A 15,537-nucleotide genomic window follows, 5' to 3' on the forward strand; every position below is an offset into this window, starting at 1 on the left:
GATCAATTATAACATATTGAATGAAAAAGAATAAAGGTGTCCATAGTGATACGCAAAGAAAACGGAGTGGAGAGTGAGCTCACTTTCATGAAGGATGATAGCTAATGAAGCTAAAGAAGAAATGATAAAATAAGATAGCAAGCATTTGTTAGAAATGGAACACTCATATAGTATCAAAATATTGCCCCTTAGATTACTTATTAATTATCTATGGAAAAGATATTGTCTTAGTTTATTTGGCCTGCTAGAACAAAATACTGTAGATTGCATAGCTTATAAATAATAGCCACTTATTTCTCACAGTTCTAGAGGTGGGGGAAGTTCAAGATCAAGGCGCCAGCAGATTAAGTGTCTAGTAAGGTCTGCTTTCTGGTTTATGCACGTGTTCCCACTGTGTTTTCACATGGTGGAAGGTGCAAACAAGCTCCCTCAGTCTTCTTTTGTAAGGGCACTCATTGCAGTCATAAGGGCTCTGTCTTCATGATCTAATTACCCCTCAAGGTCCCACATTGGGGCTTAGAATTTCAACAGATGAATTTGTGGGAAGTCAAAAACATTCAGACCATAGAAGGCGTGTTTACAACGGAGATATCTAGCAGACGCCACCTGAACCAAGTGACCAACCAAAATAATGAAACAACCTGACATCATAAGCTTCTGACTAGTTGCAGCAGGAAAGAATGCAACATCATCTATGTTGCTTATTTTTACTGCCTCATGAAAGTATGACTTACGTACCATAAAATCCACTCAATTTAAGTGTATAATTCAATGAGTTTTAGTAAATTTATATGGAGTTAAACAATCATCATCACAATCCAGTTTTTTAGAACCTTCCCTTATCCCCCAAATATTATCTACAGCCTGTTTATGGTCAATCCCTGCTCCTATAAGCAGCCACAGGCAACCACTAATAGGTTTGTATCTCCATAAATTTGCATTTACTGAATATTTCATACAAATAGAACATACAATATATGTTTTTAAGCCTAAACTTCAATAGGTATAATAATTGAGGTTTGTACATATTGTAATATGCATTAATATATTATTCTATTTTATTGAAGAATAGTATTCATTGGATGTATACATCATATCTGTTTATCCATTCACCAGTTGATGGAAATTTGGATTGTTTCTAGTCTTTGAGTGTTGGAAATCATGTTGCTGTAAACATTTGTGTATAAGCTTTTGTATAAGCTATTCAAACTTTAAACATTTATTTTTGCATCAGTTTTGGTAATTTGTATCTTTGTAGGAACTTGTTTATTTCATCTGAGTTATCTAATTTGGTGTCATAAAGTTGTTCATAAAATTCTCTTATGAGAATTTTAATTCCTGTAAAGTTGATGATGATGTCTTCTTTTTCATTTCTGATTTTGGTTAATTTGTGTCTCTTTTTTTCTTTCTTAATTGGTCTAGCTAAAATCTTGTGAATTTTGTTGATCTTTTCAAAGAAATTTTATTTTGTTGATTTTCTCTATTATTTTTGTTTTCTATTTCATTTATTTCTAATATAATATTTATTAATATTTAATTTGTTTTTAAGTTAGTTTACTGTTTTCTAGTTTCTTAAGGTGGAAGTTTAGTTTATTGATTTGAAAACTCTTTTTTTTCAGATATAGGTGCTTAAAGGTAAACATTTCCCTTCAAGCACTGGTTACCTAAATTCCATAAATTTTAATATACTGGACTTTTACTTTGTGCCATTTCTTATATCTTTAAATTTCTTTTGTGATTTCTCCTTTAACCTATGCATTATTTAGAAGTTTGCTTGCTTTCCAAGTATTTGGCATTTTCCTTTGTTGTTAGTCTGGTTCTATAATGGATATTTAATTGTGATCAGATAAGACACTCTGTGTGATGACAGTCTTTTAAAATTTATTGAGATATCTTCTGACCTTTTTTCCTATCCTGAGGAATATTTCATGTGCACTTTAATAGGTGTTCTACAGTCATTTGGTAGAATATTTTGTATATGTTGGTTAGATAAAATTGATTGCTAGAATTGAGTTTTCCATACACCTACTGATTTTCTATCTAGCTCTTCTATTAATCTCTGAGATTAGCTGGTTTAAATATTCAACTGTTATTGCTAAGTTGTCTAATTCTAATTCTTTTCTCAAGTCTGTAGTTTTTTTTCTTTATGTATTTTGGAGCTCTGAGGTAGGTATGCATATATTTACAATTTTAAAATCATTTTAATATAATGAGCCTTTTATCATTATAAAGTAACCCTCTTTGCCTCTAGTAATATTTCCTGTTTTTTTAAATTTGATAATAATGTAGCCACTCTAGCACTTCTATGGTTACTGTTTACATGATTTATATTTTTAAATTATTTTCCTTCCAACCTGTATTTTAAAATCAAGCATATTTCTTTTTTAGACAGTGCATTGATGAATTTTTAAAACCTCATTCTGACATTCTGTGCTATTTAAGGGCAGAGTTTGGTACTTTCACATTTAATGTAATTATTGACATGGTTGGATTTATATCAGCTATTTTGCTACTTGTTTTCTATTTATCCCATGTCTTTCTTTTTCCTCTGTTTCTGATTTACTGCCAGCCTTTATGTTAAATAAATATTTTCAGTGTGCCATTTTCATACTTCTCTTCATTTTCTTAGTAGATACTATAAAGATTATAGTGTGCATCTGAAATTAGCACAGTATCTTTCAAAATAATACTAACAAATTTCTGATCAACTATTAAAACTTTGCTCTACTATATATACTTTTTCCTATACTTGCTCTTGTGTTATCATCACATGTATTATAGACAGACAGATAGATATAGATATATTACATATTTAACAATACAGTATTATAAACATACTTTATACAACCTTATGTCTTTTAAAGAAGTTAAGAAAAAAGAGAAAATACTTTACATTAAGTCTTATATATTTACCTACATATTTACAAAATTCCTTTAGTAATTTAAAAACAAATTTGATAATGCAAGTGTCCAAATGATGAATTATCTTAGCTTTTGTCTGGAGAGGTTTGTATTTCACCTTCATTAAGAAACAAAAACAAAAACAAAAACTTTTTTTTTTGGTTTAGAATCCCTGATTGACAAAGTTAGCTATTATATCTATTCTTATTCCCCTGTATTTTCTCTCGTTGCTTTTGAGATTTTTCTCTGTCTTTGGCTTTTAAGAATTTAACTGTGTTGTATCTAGGTGTGAATATTTTTGTGTTTTTTTTGGGAGGATTATCGGTGCTCCTTGCAGATTAATGATTTTCATCAAATTTGGACAGTTTTCAGCCATCACTTCTTGAAATATTTTTCTTCTCCTTTTTTTATCCTTTGCTGTTAGAAATAACATTACACCTAAATTGTTATACTCAAAGCTATTCCACAGGTATTTAGGACTCCCTTTATTTTTCTTCATTTTTTTTTCTCTGTGTTCTTTAAACGTGGTATTTTCTATTGATCTTTTTTATAGTTTGGTGACTTCTGTTGTATAAAATTTCTTATAGAGCCTCTCTGCTTAGTTTTTTTTATTACGGTTATAATTTTTATCTAAATTCTGGTAAAATATGGAAACTCGTATCCACTCCATCTTTCTCCTTCACTTTTATTTGTGTTATTGTTTTCACATGCAGTATTACATGTGTATATTCATGTTATAAACCCAACAAGGCACTGCCATAATTATTGCTTTAGATAACCTTACATTGTATCCTTATGTTGCTATATACAACCTGTATTTCCACTTGGTTCGTTTTTATAACTTCTGTTTCTTTATTGAGACAGCCGAGCCATTGAATAATTATTAACATACTTTCCTTTAATTCTTTATGTTCGGTTTCCTTTAATTCATTGAACACATTGAACCTGTCTGTTTTAAAGTCACTGTCTGACAAATCTAATACCGGTGACACTGAGAGACAACTTTTAGTGACAGGTTTTGTTCCTCTAAATATGATCACACTTTTTTGTCTCTTTGCACACCTTATAATTTTTATTTGAAGTCGAGACATTCTAGATAATATGTTGTGTCAGTTCTGGATTCTGAGTCCTTTTCTCTCTGAGGGTTGTTGTTTTCTTTTGTAACATGCATGAATTAAATCTGTGAATTCTGTCTCCCCTACCTGGTGTGGCCGCGAATGTCCCTGCTCTGCTTATTTTTAGAAATTATTCACTTATTTGTTCCTTTATTTATTATTTTTCAGCCTGAATCTTAGTGCTCTGGTAGTGTTCAGTCAACAATTGGCCAGAGATTATGCTCAAACACCTCCAGCTAAGAAGGCTCACTCTCTGTTGATGATATCTGTATGAAAGTGCAGAAATTCAGAGGAGGAGGAAATTATGGTTTATTCTAGTAGAGAAGAAAGATATTATGGAAGGAGGAGGGCTTGATATTTGTCTCAAATTATTATAGAATTTATATATATAGGCAGGGTGCAGTGGCTCACGCCTGTAATCCCAGCACTTTGGGATGCCAAGACAGGTGGATCGCCTGAGGTCAGGTCAGGAGTTCGAGACCAGCCTGGCCAACATGGTGAAACCTCTCCTCTAGTAGAAAAAAAAAAAAATAGCTGGGCATGGTGGTGGGCGCCTGTAATCCCAGCTACTTGGGAGGCTGAGGCAGGAGAATCGCTTGAGCCTGGGAGGCAGGGGTTGCATGAGCTGAAATTGCACCATTGCACTCCAGCCTAGACAACAAGAGTGAAAGAGTTCTGGATCAAAAATGAGATCAGTAATCATTTAGAGATGGTGGCACTGATAAGATTTAATACTGACAAGGGAAACGTTCATTAGTTCAAATTTTCATTAGCGTAAAGTTCGTTAGTCTGCAAATTGGACTGAAAAATGAGAAGAAGGGTTCATATGGCTCCCTCTTTTCCTTTCCTGCATTTTATCAGAAGAGTAGTGATCTCATGAGCCTATGAAGAATCCAGTGTTCTATTCAGAAATGGAGGAAAAAATAGCTTTAGGGTAAAAAGATATTTGTACATAGCAAAGAGAAATTTTAAAACTCACAACAGAAAGTTAATACCTGAAAATTCAGTATCTTGACTATCATTAAAATTTGGATTTTTCAAAGTAAATTTAGTTCTTACCATGTTCCGTATGAATATAATCAATTAACTCAGCTTCCAGTGTGACCTGTCACTTCCTCATTATGTCCTGTTCTTATAGATTGGAACCTCACTCAGTCATGGACTCATATTTCTGTTGTCATGTTCATGAAAACTTTCCCATGTCAAGTTAGAAAACCTCTCTCCAGGCCAAGCCGACAAAGACCACAAAAATCTTTCTTCTGCCAGAAGTTACTCTCTCAGTCTCCCACACATAGGTTTATGGATTGACTATAATGGGAAGCAAAAATAGTCTTATATTAGGTAACCATAACAATATATCCAAGATAGTTCTTAAAAGAATTTTACTTGTATATATTTTATATATATATTAAAAGAATTTTACTTGTATATATTTTATATATATATTAAATTTTGCATATGCTGTGTGTTTTATGCAAATATTCTAGTATATGCTTTCTACTCACCAAAGTAATTTATGCAATAAAAATAATGGCTCATTCATTGACATTAATAGCTCATACCTACCACATATAACTTTTCTTTATCTATTTAATAAATACAATTCAGATACGGTTTAAGGCTGTGGCATCTACATAGGTGACTACTGTGAAAAGTGTGGTTTCTGAAGTAAAGACGGTAGGAGAGGTTATTAACAATAGGTATAATTTTATGCATTTTTCTTTCTGTGTGTGTGTCTATGGCCAATTCCTGATTTCTGCAGTAGAAATGAACAGAATTTAGAGATGGATTCATGACAGATCCTGGTTAGAACATGAATACACAATGTCTACCACTCAGAGGATTACATTTACAAGGTGGTCTCAGTTTCATTTTTGGTTCATTAGACATGTGAGCTTTACCTACAACACCAGGAGCCTCCACACGCAACAGCACATTTTACGATTTGTGTAAGCCAGCCCTCCCTGCCTGAAGTGTTGCTCCCTGCTTCTTTAGCTCCCCAGGTCTGTTACCTCAGATCTGCATTTTAGGTTTAAATATCAATACTTTATCAGGCCTGTCTCTTTGATGGTGTGATCTGTTCAAATTTCCCTTCTGACTTGCTGACCTTTTCTTCTACCTTCTGCTTTGTAAGGACCTTTGAAGAATTGACCACGGTTATAGGTAAGAGTTGGCCCCAGCCTTAACCCTATGGAACATCTGTCAGACTGGCCACCACTCTTCCCAGTTCTTTCAATCAAGACAGGGACATTCATAAAACTATAGAGAATCAAGATGATTGAAATATAACAGTTGCTCTTTGGAGGATTTGTCTAGAATAGGTATTTTAATGCGCGAATGCACCAGCCCATGGCTCTTGAGATGATGATCCTTTAAAATAATTTATATTCTAAATTCCTTTTCGTCCATAGTTGATGAAAATAGCATTTATTATTCAAATTATTGAGATTTTCCACTGGAACTAGCCAGTTTCACTTAGACTTGTAAATTTAATAGAATATATCTGTCACATCTAGTCAATCCTGCATATTTGCCTTCCAGTAGAAACAATAACCAATTTGGCTGCCTTAGCTTTGCAAATCTAAAACCAACTGGTCACAGAATTTAAGATTCAGTAAGGCAAACCCAGTTAAGTTGCAAAGATTTTTAAAAAGTCAATCGTAGTTCTTGAGGCACTATAAAACTCTTTTTATGTTCTTAATTTCTAAATTAATCTTTCTAATTATATTTGGGGAACTGTGTCTTTAAGCCAGTAAAAGTCACTTTAATTCTAGTATAACCTACTTTTCTGAAGTGAGCGGTGCCCCACATAAGCATCTGAGGATAGAAGTGAGACCTAGGTATGAGGAATGTTCTCTCAACTATGTCCAGAGCAAGAGCTGTTAATTCCTGTCATTAGCTGCTAGCTCTTAAGTTTGATATTCACTGCCTTGGAGAGATCTGGGAGAAGAAACCTGAGCAGCCCTTTCACTATGATAAATATTTTCCTTTTCAAATTATTCGAGAGAAACAGGGTGTTTTAAAAACTAATAAATTGCCTGGCCAAGAACAAGGTGAAATGGGAGAAGAACAATAGTGAATTCCTATGGAATGTACACTCTGAGTCTAAAAATATTTTAGATACCTATAAATATTTTTAGAGGACTCACGTAATCATACAGCACCCTGTGATATAAGTATGAATATTATCCCTGTTTTACAGCTTAGGAATGAATTCATGGGGAGGTAAAAATAATAACAACATTTATGGAGCATTTACTGCATAGCAGGTACCTTGATAGTTACAGAATAGGGATTATCTGTAGGCCTCAGAGGAAACATAGTAGTATTACTTTAGTGTTTATTTTATAGACCAGAAAACCTAGATATAGTAAGGTTAACTGTCCAAAGATCAGCCAGCAGTAGAGGCTGAAGCCTCTTGTGAACTAGCAGGTCACAGGGCAGATGTCATGCATGTAACCATTATGCTGTACCCCATGGAAGACAGAGAATAGGACAGAATATTAATGAGAGTCTAAAGACAGGTCAAATTTAAAGTGAAAAAAATAAGCTGTATCTAGTGTATCATTTATGGGACACACAGAAAAGTAGTTTCTGGTTAAAATATACATGTTCATATATATAATTATGCATGCACATATTTTTCCTTATCAGCCTATTATTAGAAGTTTATTTCAATGCTTCTTTCCTCTCTATTTATGGAGGCCACATTTATATTAAATCTCAAGTAGTAAACACTTGGAATGTGATATTTGCCAACTGAGAATAAAGCTGGCAAAACCTGGGAAAGGGAAGAATGGATGTGTCTGCGTCTTCTGTATCCCCACCAAACATAAGCGTTTCTAGTCTGAAATACAAGCCTGCTATCCTATCTTTAGCCTGCTTGCTAGATGATCAAATCCCATCTAATTATTTAGCCTATCTTTTTCTCACCAAACCGTGTGGATTCAATTTTTCTCATATGAGTTTTCTGAAAGCAAAAGCAGAAATCCCAAAGGACTATTCTTGAAACAAAAGGAGATTTATTACTTTTCACTGAAAGGGGATTTGTTATAGTAGGAATTGTGTGCGTGTCAGCTGAAAAGACCACAGTTCCGTCTGTGGCCTGAAGATTATGTGGCCTCTACAAGCAACTCTCTCTCCTTTCATGGTTCTTCAGTTGTCATAGGTCTGGCATCTGACCTCCAGGGTCCCCGCAGGAAAGGACACCCAGAGGCCAGAGCTCTGATGATGAGGTGACAGATACACCTATAGGCCCTGGCCCTGGCAACCCCAGCCAGTTCTCTCATAGTCCTACAGCTCTGCAACAGTCTTAACCTTGTTGCCATTTCTAAGTCCCAGGATGCGGCAGTTTGCTCCTAGTCCTGTCACAATCACCTTTTGAAATAACAGAAAGAAAATTCACGCATTCCTCAAGTATGATAGTTCAAAAATCTGTTTTTTATTATTGATAGTTTGGAAAAATCTTAGCTTTATGTTATTTTTTTTAAATTTCACTTTTAAAAAGACGACTTCTTTTTAGATCAGTTTTAAGGTCCCAGTAAAATTGAGAGGAAAGTACAGAGATATCCCATATAGTACCTGCCTCCACACATACAGAGCCTCCCCCATGATCAACGATCTCCACTAGAGTGGCAGATTTGTTATAGCTGATGAACCTACATCGATACATATTATCACCTAAAGTCTGTGGTTTGCATTAAGGTTAACTCTTGGTATTGTACATTCTTTGGGTTTGGACAAATGTATAATAATATACATTAACCATTATAGTATCATACAGAATAATTTCACTGCCCTTAAAAATTCTTGGTGCCTCCCCATTCATCTCTAACTTCCCCCTGACCTTTGGCAACCACTGATCTTTCTACAGTCTCCATAGCTTTTCCTTTATCAGAAGATCATGTAGCTGGAATCATATAGTATGTAGCCCTTTCAGATGGGCTTCTTTTACTTGTAATATGGATTTCAGTGTCTTCCATGTCTTCTCATGGCTCAATAGCTTATTTGTTTTTTAGTACTGAATAATATTCCACTGCCTGGGTGTATCACAGTTTATTTATCCATTCACCTATTGAAGAATATATTGGTTGCTTCCAAGAGTTATGGCGATTATGAGTCAAGTTACTATAAACATGCAGATTTTAGTAGGGACATAAGTTTTCCACTCCTTTGGGTAAAAACCAAAGCCCTATTATTGGATTTTCAAGTAAGTTTTTAGTAGTATTGTCAAATTTTAGAAAAGCTATACAGGACCTTTGCATATATACAATTATTTCATTTAAAACGGTCAGTGCAACTGCATGTGGAAAATAGTGGGAATCCTTTTCAGCGAAAATGTAACGTTGAACATTCTTATCCTGATGAAATCTATAGCCCAGGCTTCAGAAGTTTCCTTGTCCAAGGTGTTGACCTTGTGTGTATTGTTTTAGCTTTTTCCTACTTCAATTTTTATATCCTTGCAATGATCATAGCAATCCTCATCCTTTCTTTCAACCCAGGAATATTGTTGGAAAAACAAATGAGACCGTGTATGTGTGCACATGCATGTCGTGTGTGGTGTGTGTGTGTGTGTCCTCCTCATTCCACTTTTCCATTTCTTCCTTTTCCTCCTTCTCTTTCATCTCCTGTTAATTGTCACCTGGGGTCAGCTAGACTACTAAGATCATTGCATAATATGTGGCAGCCACAAGAAAATGGCATGAGTGTATGAGTGTGTGTGTGTGTGTGTGTGTGTGAGAGAGAGAGAGAGAGAAAGAGAGAGAAAGATACACACACACAAAGAGACAGAGAAAGGGGCTGAAATATTCCTGTGTGTCACATATTTTTGTTGGTTTTTGGGTCTCGCTCTGTTGACTAGGCTGGAATGTAGTGGCATGATCACAGCTCACTGCAGGCTTGACCTCACAGGCTCAAGTGACCCTCCCACCTCAGCCTCTGGAGTAGTGGGACTATAGGCATGTGCCACCATGCCCGGCTAATTTTTGTATTTTTTGTAGAGATCAGATTTTGCCATGATGCCCAGGCTGGTCTTGAACTCCCGGCCTCAAACCATCCACCCACCTCAGCCTCCCAAAGTGCTGGGATTACAGGCATGAGCCACTGCACCTGGCCTTTTTGTTGTTTTTTGAATACACTCTCGTTATGATGAGGTTCCTTCTGAGGTTTTTGAACTCCTCTGCCCCATCTCATTGAGAGATCCTACTTGTCAGACACATTTTAAGCTTTTCCATTAGATAATGGCCATAACTTAATTCTATTGCTGGGTACTGGTCAGGGAGACACTTTTGTTCTCCTAAGGATGTTGTAAGCTAAACTCTACTACATTTTCATAAGCAATTTTATCTTGACATTTATATTTTGGCTTATCTCCTCTCTCAGATGTGAAAGGTATTTTAATCATGAAACCGAAAACTTAGTCAAGAAAATGTTTTATTTTACACTGGGATTCTTTATTTTTAAGCACCGTGTTCTGCTATGAATTCATTTTGACATCCATGCCAGGCACCTTGCAGACAGGGAAATGTTTTTTATTTACTTTAGCATCTGTTTTAGTATTTCTTTAGTATTTGTTTCAATTTTTAAAGAAATACTATGTTTTGCTGACCCGTTGCAAGGCAAAATTACCCACTACAAGGCAGTTCTGGGTAATTCTTTTTTAAAAAATAAAAAGATGGAAAATAGTAAATAATTTATCAATTAATTTACTTATTGATTCAAAAAGGTTTCACTGGCCATCTGTTATGGGAAAATCACCATGACAGGCACCAGAGAGAAAGCACGAAGTAACACATGGGAATCCTTGCCTCCAAGACACGTAGAGTGAAAAAATGCAAAAGAAAAATCACATGAAGAGTGCAATTAAGAATTAAATATAGGTTGCTCTTATAGGAAGAAAAACTAAATAAAATGGAGGCATCAGGGAAGACCTCTCAAAGGAGGTAGCAGTGAAACTAAGTTAGGAAGAATCTGTAGGACTTGTTTAGATAGGGTCATTCCTGAGGCTAAAAGCAATGACATCTTGGTGATGTAAAGTGGCTCATAGAAAAGTTCTTGGGTCAGCTCCAGGTACATAGTAGGGATCGAATAAATGTTGGTTTCCTTTTCACCTGTTAGTCATCCAAATAGGATCTTCGCTGAATTATTTGAATTTTCTAAACCATCTGGTGTTTTGTGGAAATAAATGTCCCAGCTAAATCCACTGGAACGGCTGCGATGGGCTTTTGGTTCATCTGCAGTAGCAATCTTCATAAGTGGAAATAGAAAAGTAATCTCAACTGACTGTTAACCGACAAAGGCCCTAATGATGTCTTTGCAGAAATAGTTTGTGATTTGGGTACTGAGATTGTGCAATCAGAGTAGCAGAGAAAATACAACAAGGAGTGGCTAAAGGTTTCATAGAAAATATGACGAAGGTGAAGTAGAAAACAATAAGCATTCGGGTAAAGAAATGTAAACATGTGAGGCCCATATCCAATCTAGCAAAACTCTGGCGATCTTGCTGCATCAGGAGACTGACAAGTAGACCTCTTTTCTTACTTTGATAGCTTTTTTAAATTGGTAATATATTTACAGGACTCAAGCATCAAACAGTAAAAAGTATGCAATTAGTGGCACATGGTGGTGTGTGCCCATAGTCCCAGCTACCTGGGAGGCTGAGGCAGGAGAACCTCTTGATCCCAGGAGTTCTAGGTTTCATTGGGCTGTGATGTGGGCTGCAGTGGCCACTGCACTCCAGCCTGGGTGACAAAGCAAGACCCTGTCTCTTAAAAAATATATATGCATATGTAGTAATAAATCTTGTTTATACACCTTTCACTCTAATCCTAGGGTCCTATTCTAATCTCTGCTATCTTTTAGAGTATCTTTATACAATTTTAATCAATTGCATGTATAGATGCACATATTTTTATTTTCCATGTACCTGTTTATTCATTTAACAAATATTTATTGAGTGTATACTTTCCAGGTAATGTTCAATGCAGCCAAGGGAGCTAAGGTAATGAACAAAACAGAGAAGTTCCTACCCTCCCTGATGTTCATTCTAGCAAATGGAGACAGATGATAGAAAGTAAGTAAACTATAGGGTGTTAGGTCTTACAACCACTAAAGAAAAAAATGAAGCATAATAATGAGGAAAGAGCATGCTGGAATGGGAAAGTATTTCACTTCAAAATAAGGGAGTGGTACTTGAGCAAAGACCTGGTGGAGGGGAGGGAGCAAGCCCCATAGAATCTGGGAGGAGATATTCCAGAAATAGAGTATTCCTGATCCCAAAGGCAAGCCCCAGAGATCAGGGTAAGCCTGACACCTTCCAGGAATAGGAAGAAAGCCCGGGTGGCCAGGGTGGAGTGAGCTAGGGACAGAGACGAGATTAGGGAGGTAGGGAGAGGATAGCATTGGGAAATAATGGAAAGAATTTTGAGCAGAAGTATTTTATCAATCACTCTTGAATTTAAGATGAAGATGAACTGTAGAAAGGGCAGAATCCATATGACCTGCTACAGATTAGTGAAATGATTCCAGTTAAGTGATGCTGATGACCTGAATCAGGGTGGTTGCTATGGATGGGATGGGATATGGCTGATTTGTGGAGAAATGTTTTGTAGGTTGAGCAAACAGTATTTGCATGAGAGAAGTGCAAGAAGGAGGGGTGTCCCAGCTAGGAGACTGGAGATGGCATCCATGACCTAGGAAATATTTCGGGAGGAGCAGGACAGGGGTTCAAGTGATAGAGTTCCATCCCTGGACACGCTAAACTTGGAGTGCCTGTTAGACAACTTAGTAAATATGTCCAGTAGAGAGTTCAAATTAGGGAGAGGACCTCTTTAAGGATTACAAGCTTGGAGGTAATAAGAATATAGACAAAATTTGAAGCCGTAACGTGGATGAGCTCACCCAGGGAATTACTGTAGATAGAAGAAAATGAGGCCAAAAATAGCATCTCAGGATATTCTACAGATCAAAGTTTAACAAGACAAATAGAGAAAGAGAAGGTGACTGAAAGGAAGCCAGTGTGAGACAGAAGAAAATCCAGGAGAGAGTGGTGGGTGGAAGAAAGACCTTCAAGATACAGAGAATGATGGGCTCTGTCAAAGGTGCTGATTGCTAGGTACGATGAGGACTAGGATTGAACCAACTCATATAGCTGTGACCTTGACAAGAGCATCTTCAGTAGAGTATTGAGGGAAAGTGCTGATTGGAATGAGTTCAAGAGAAAATGAGCTGAGGAAATTAGAAACAGCAAGTAGAGACAAATTTTTACGTTTTGTTGTAGAGAGGGAGCAGAAGAATGGCACAGTTGTTGAAGGGAGAAGTGGGGCCAAGTGTTTTTGTGTTCTGATTTTTTTTAATAGAGGAAATAAGGGTAAGTGTCTTAGCTAATAGTAGAGAGGAGAAATGTGAAAGAAGTATCCTTATTTCTGTGATAATTTGGCTTTAGCTAGGAGCATCAAAATTTCCATCCATGGTAACAGGAAGAAAAGCTGAGTCAGGGCTGAGAGCACAAATGGGCAAGTGTGGTAGACAGAGAAGTAGAGAAGTTTTCCTCATGGTTTTTCTCCACCCTCAGGGAAATAGGAGGTAGAGTCATTAGCTGAGAGTGAAAAGTAGGGAGAGGTGTTGGGGTTTGAAAAAAGGGAAGAAGGTCTGGTATATTTACGACAGAATGGGAGAGAAATGGATAGGGTAATGACTGAGCCCCAGGCATCACTACTGGTCTGCTCGAGGATGATAATCAAGGATTGGAAATGTCACCAGTAAAGCACTTTTCATTTGTGTTTTTCTTTAGCCAGTGTCAACTGCAGAGTGCAGTAAGTATAAAAGGACCAATAGTTAAAGCAATTTTTACAAATGGTAGTACACTGCAGACATGAATATAATGACATTCCTGGTAAGAATGGTATAATGCAGTTGTTGTCACTTGGTGGGTATATATGCCAGGAGTCTATAGGGGTTTCATAGGGGTTCAGGGTGAGGTATTGAGTTTCTAAATATTTTCATTTTCCCTAATCCTTTAAACATGTCTATTAGGTATATTTTAACATCCATACCATACTTTAATCACACCTGTTAATAATTTTTAAATCAATATATTTACAGATTTGAGTTTGCTTACTTATAATTTCGCTGTTAGTTTGATTGATCCAAGACATTTAAAGGATTAAGGTTTAAATAGAAAGTAAAGGTTTTTGGAGACAGACCAGGGATCAAATGTCAGCTCTAACACTTACTTGTAGTATCCTTAAGCAAGCCATTGAGTGTCTCTTAGTCACCATTAGATCATATATTAAAATAAAATAAGAACACCTATTTATATGCTTCAGATAAAGTTTAAATTCATTTATGTATATAAATACTAGGCACAGTTATAGGTATTTATAAAGATTCCTTCCAGTCCCTCTACCTTAAAAATAAATGACAATATGGAAATAAGCTATTTTTTATTGCTACAATTAATATTTATTTTACAAATTTTTCAAAATGAAATAATCAAAATAAAACAATTAAAAAAATCTTCATTTATGTTTCTCAGAATTCAATATAGTAAATATTTTGGTGTGTTTATCCACATACAAGTAAATATAAATAAATAAACATAAATGTGTGTGTGTCCACATGCATTGTGCACACACGCACACACTCGCACTACATCTGCTTTATTCCATTTAAAATACATCGTGAACCTGTGACTTTTTCTTTTGCTTTCATATCATTAAAATTTTTCCACAACATTACTTCTGATGGATGTTTCAAGATCATCAGACAGATGTATGATAATGTGCACATTAATCCTGTAGGGCTGTTCTTTATTAGTTTCAATTTTAATCTAAACTGTGTTAAACAATCCCACTGCTAAATCCTTAGGTTCGTCTATGCTTTTTTTCCCTAGGACACATTGCATTAAGTGAAAATTGCCAAGGAAAAAGCTATGTAAATCTTTAAGGGTTGTCGTAAGTGTTGTTAGTTGCCCTCCAGAAATGTATCTAGACTGTCAGGTCACTCTCTTACATTGGATAGCAATGTCATCCATAGCAACTGGGTATCCTCTCAGTGCCTGTGTGCCCTGCATATTTTAAGGCCTGAACAACAAATTAATCTTTACTATTGAATAAGTAGAGAATCTCATTGTTTTTCTTCAAATATGGGAGTTTTATTTTAGTTTTGTATTTTTACCTTAACCAATGGTTGTGAAAGATTCTTTCTATGTAAGGAATTTCAGCCTTCTGGAAAGAATGTCCCCAGGAATACTACATGTGTTTTCATAGGTTGTTAGTGACCTAACTGCTTTAGAGATAGTATAAGATCCTAGACTTAACAGGAGAAACACAAAACTAAAAGAAATAATGATATAGAACTCCTATTACTAATACCACTACTTAGAATACAACTGTCATTTCTCTGGTCTAACAGTGAAGAAAATTTTTAAGTCAAAAGTTTTTTTTTTTTCTTACAATTTATTTCTCTAAAAAATGTTTTACCCCAGTTATTTGCTCTTTTTTCCATATGCATTTATCATGTT

General features: G+C 35.6%; 2 long non-coding RNA genes across 3 annotated transcripts in view; one reads left to right on the forward strand and one right to left on the reverse strand.

Moving 5' to 3' along the window:
* The window catches only part of LINC01580 (long intergenic non-protein coding RNA 1580), an 83,450-nt gene that overhangs the window by 56,908 nt on the left and 11,005 nt on the right, over positions 1 to 15,537 (forward strand). The window contains exon 3 of one of the 2 annotated variants that reach the window (NR_120322.1): positions 11,986 to 12,087. The exons of the other annotated variant lie outside the window; for it this stretch is intronic. This is a non-coding gene — a long non-coding RNA (long intergenic non-protein coding RNA 1580). The remainder of the gene's footprint in view (positions 1 to 11,985; positions 12,088 to 15,537) is intronic. 2 annotated transcript variants of the gene reach the window in all.
* The window catches only part of LINC01581 (long intergenic non-protein coding RNA 1581), a 202,536-nt gene that overhangs the window by 52,206 nt on the left and 134,793 nt on the right, over positions 1 to 15,537 (reverse strand). Inside the window, exon 6 of the long non-coding RNA NR_120320.1 lies at positions 5,076 to 5,324. This is a non-coding gene — a long non-coding RNA (long intergenic non-protein coding RNA 1581). The remainder of the gene's footprint in view (positions 1 to 5,075; positions 5,325 to 15,537) is intronic.

The sequence above is a fragment of the Homo sapiens genome, chromosome 15, assembly GCF_000001405.40.
Source record: "Homo sapiens chromosome 15, GRCh38.p14 Primary Assembly".
NCBI classification, from domain to species: domain Eukaryota; kingdom Metazoa; phylum Chordata; class Mammalia; order Primates; family Hominidae; genus Homo; species Homo sapiens.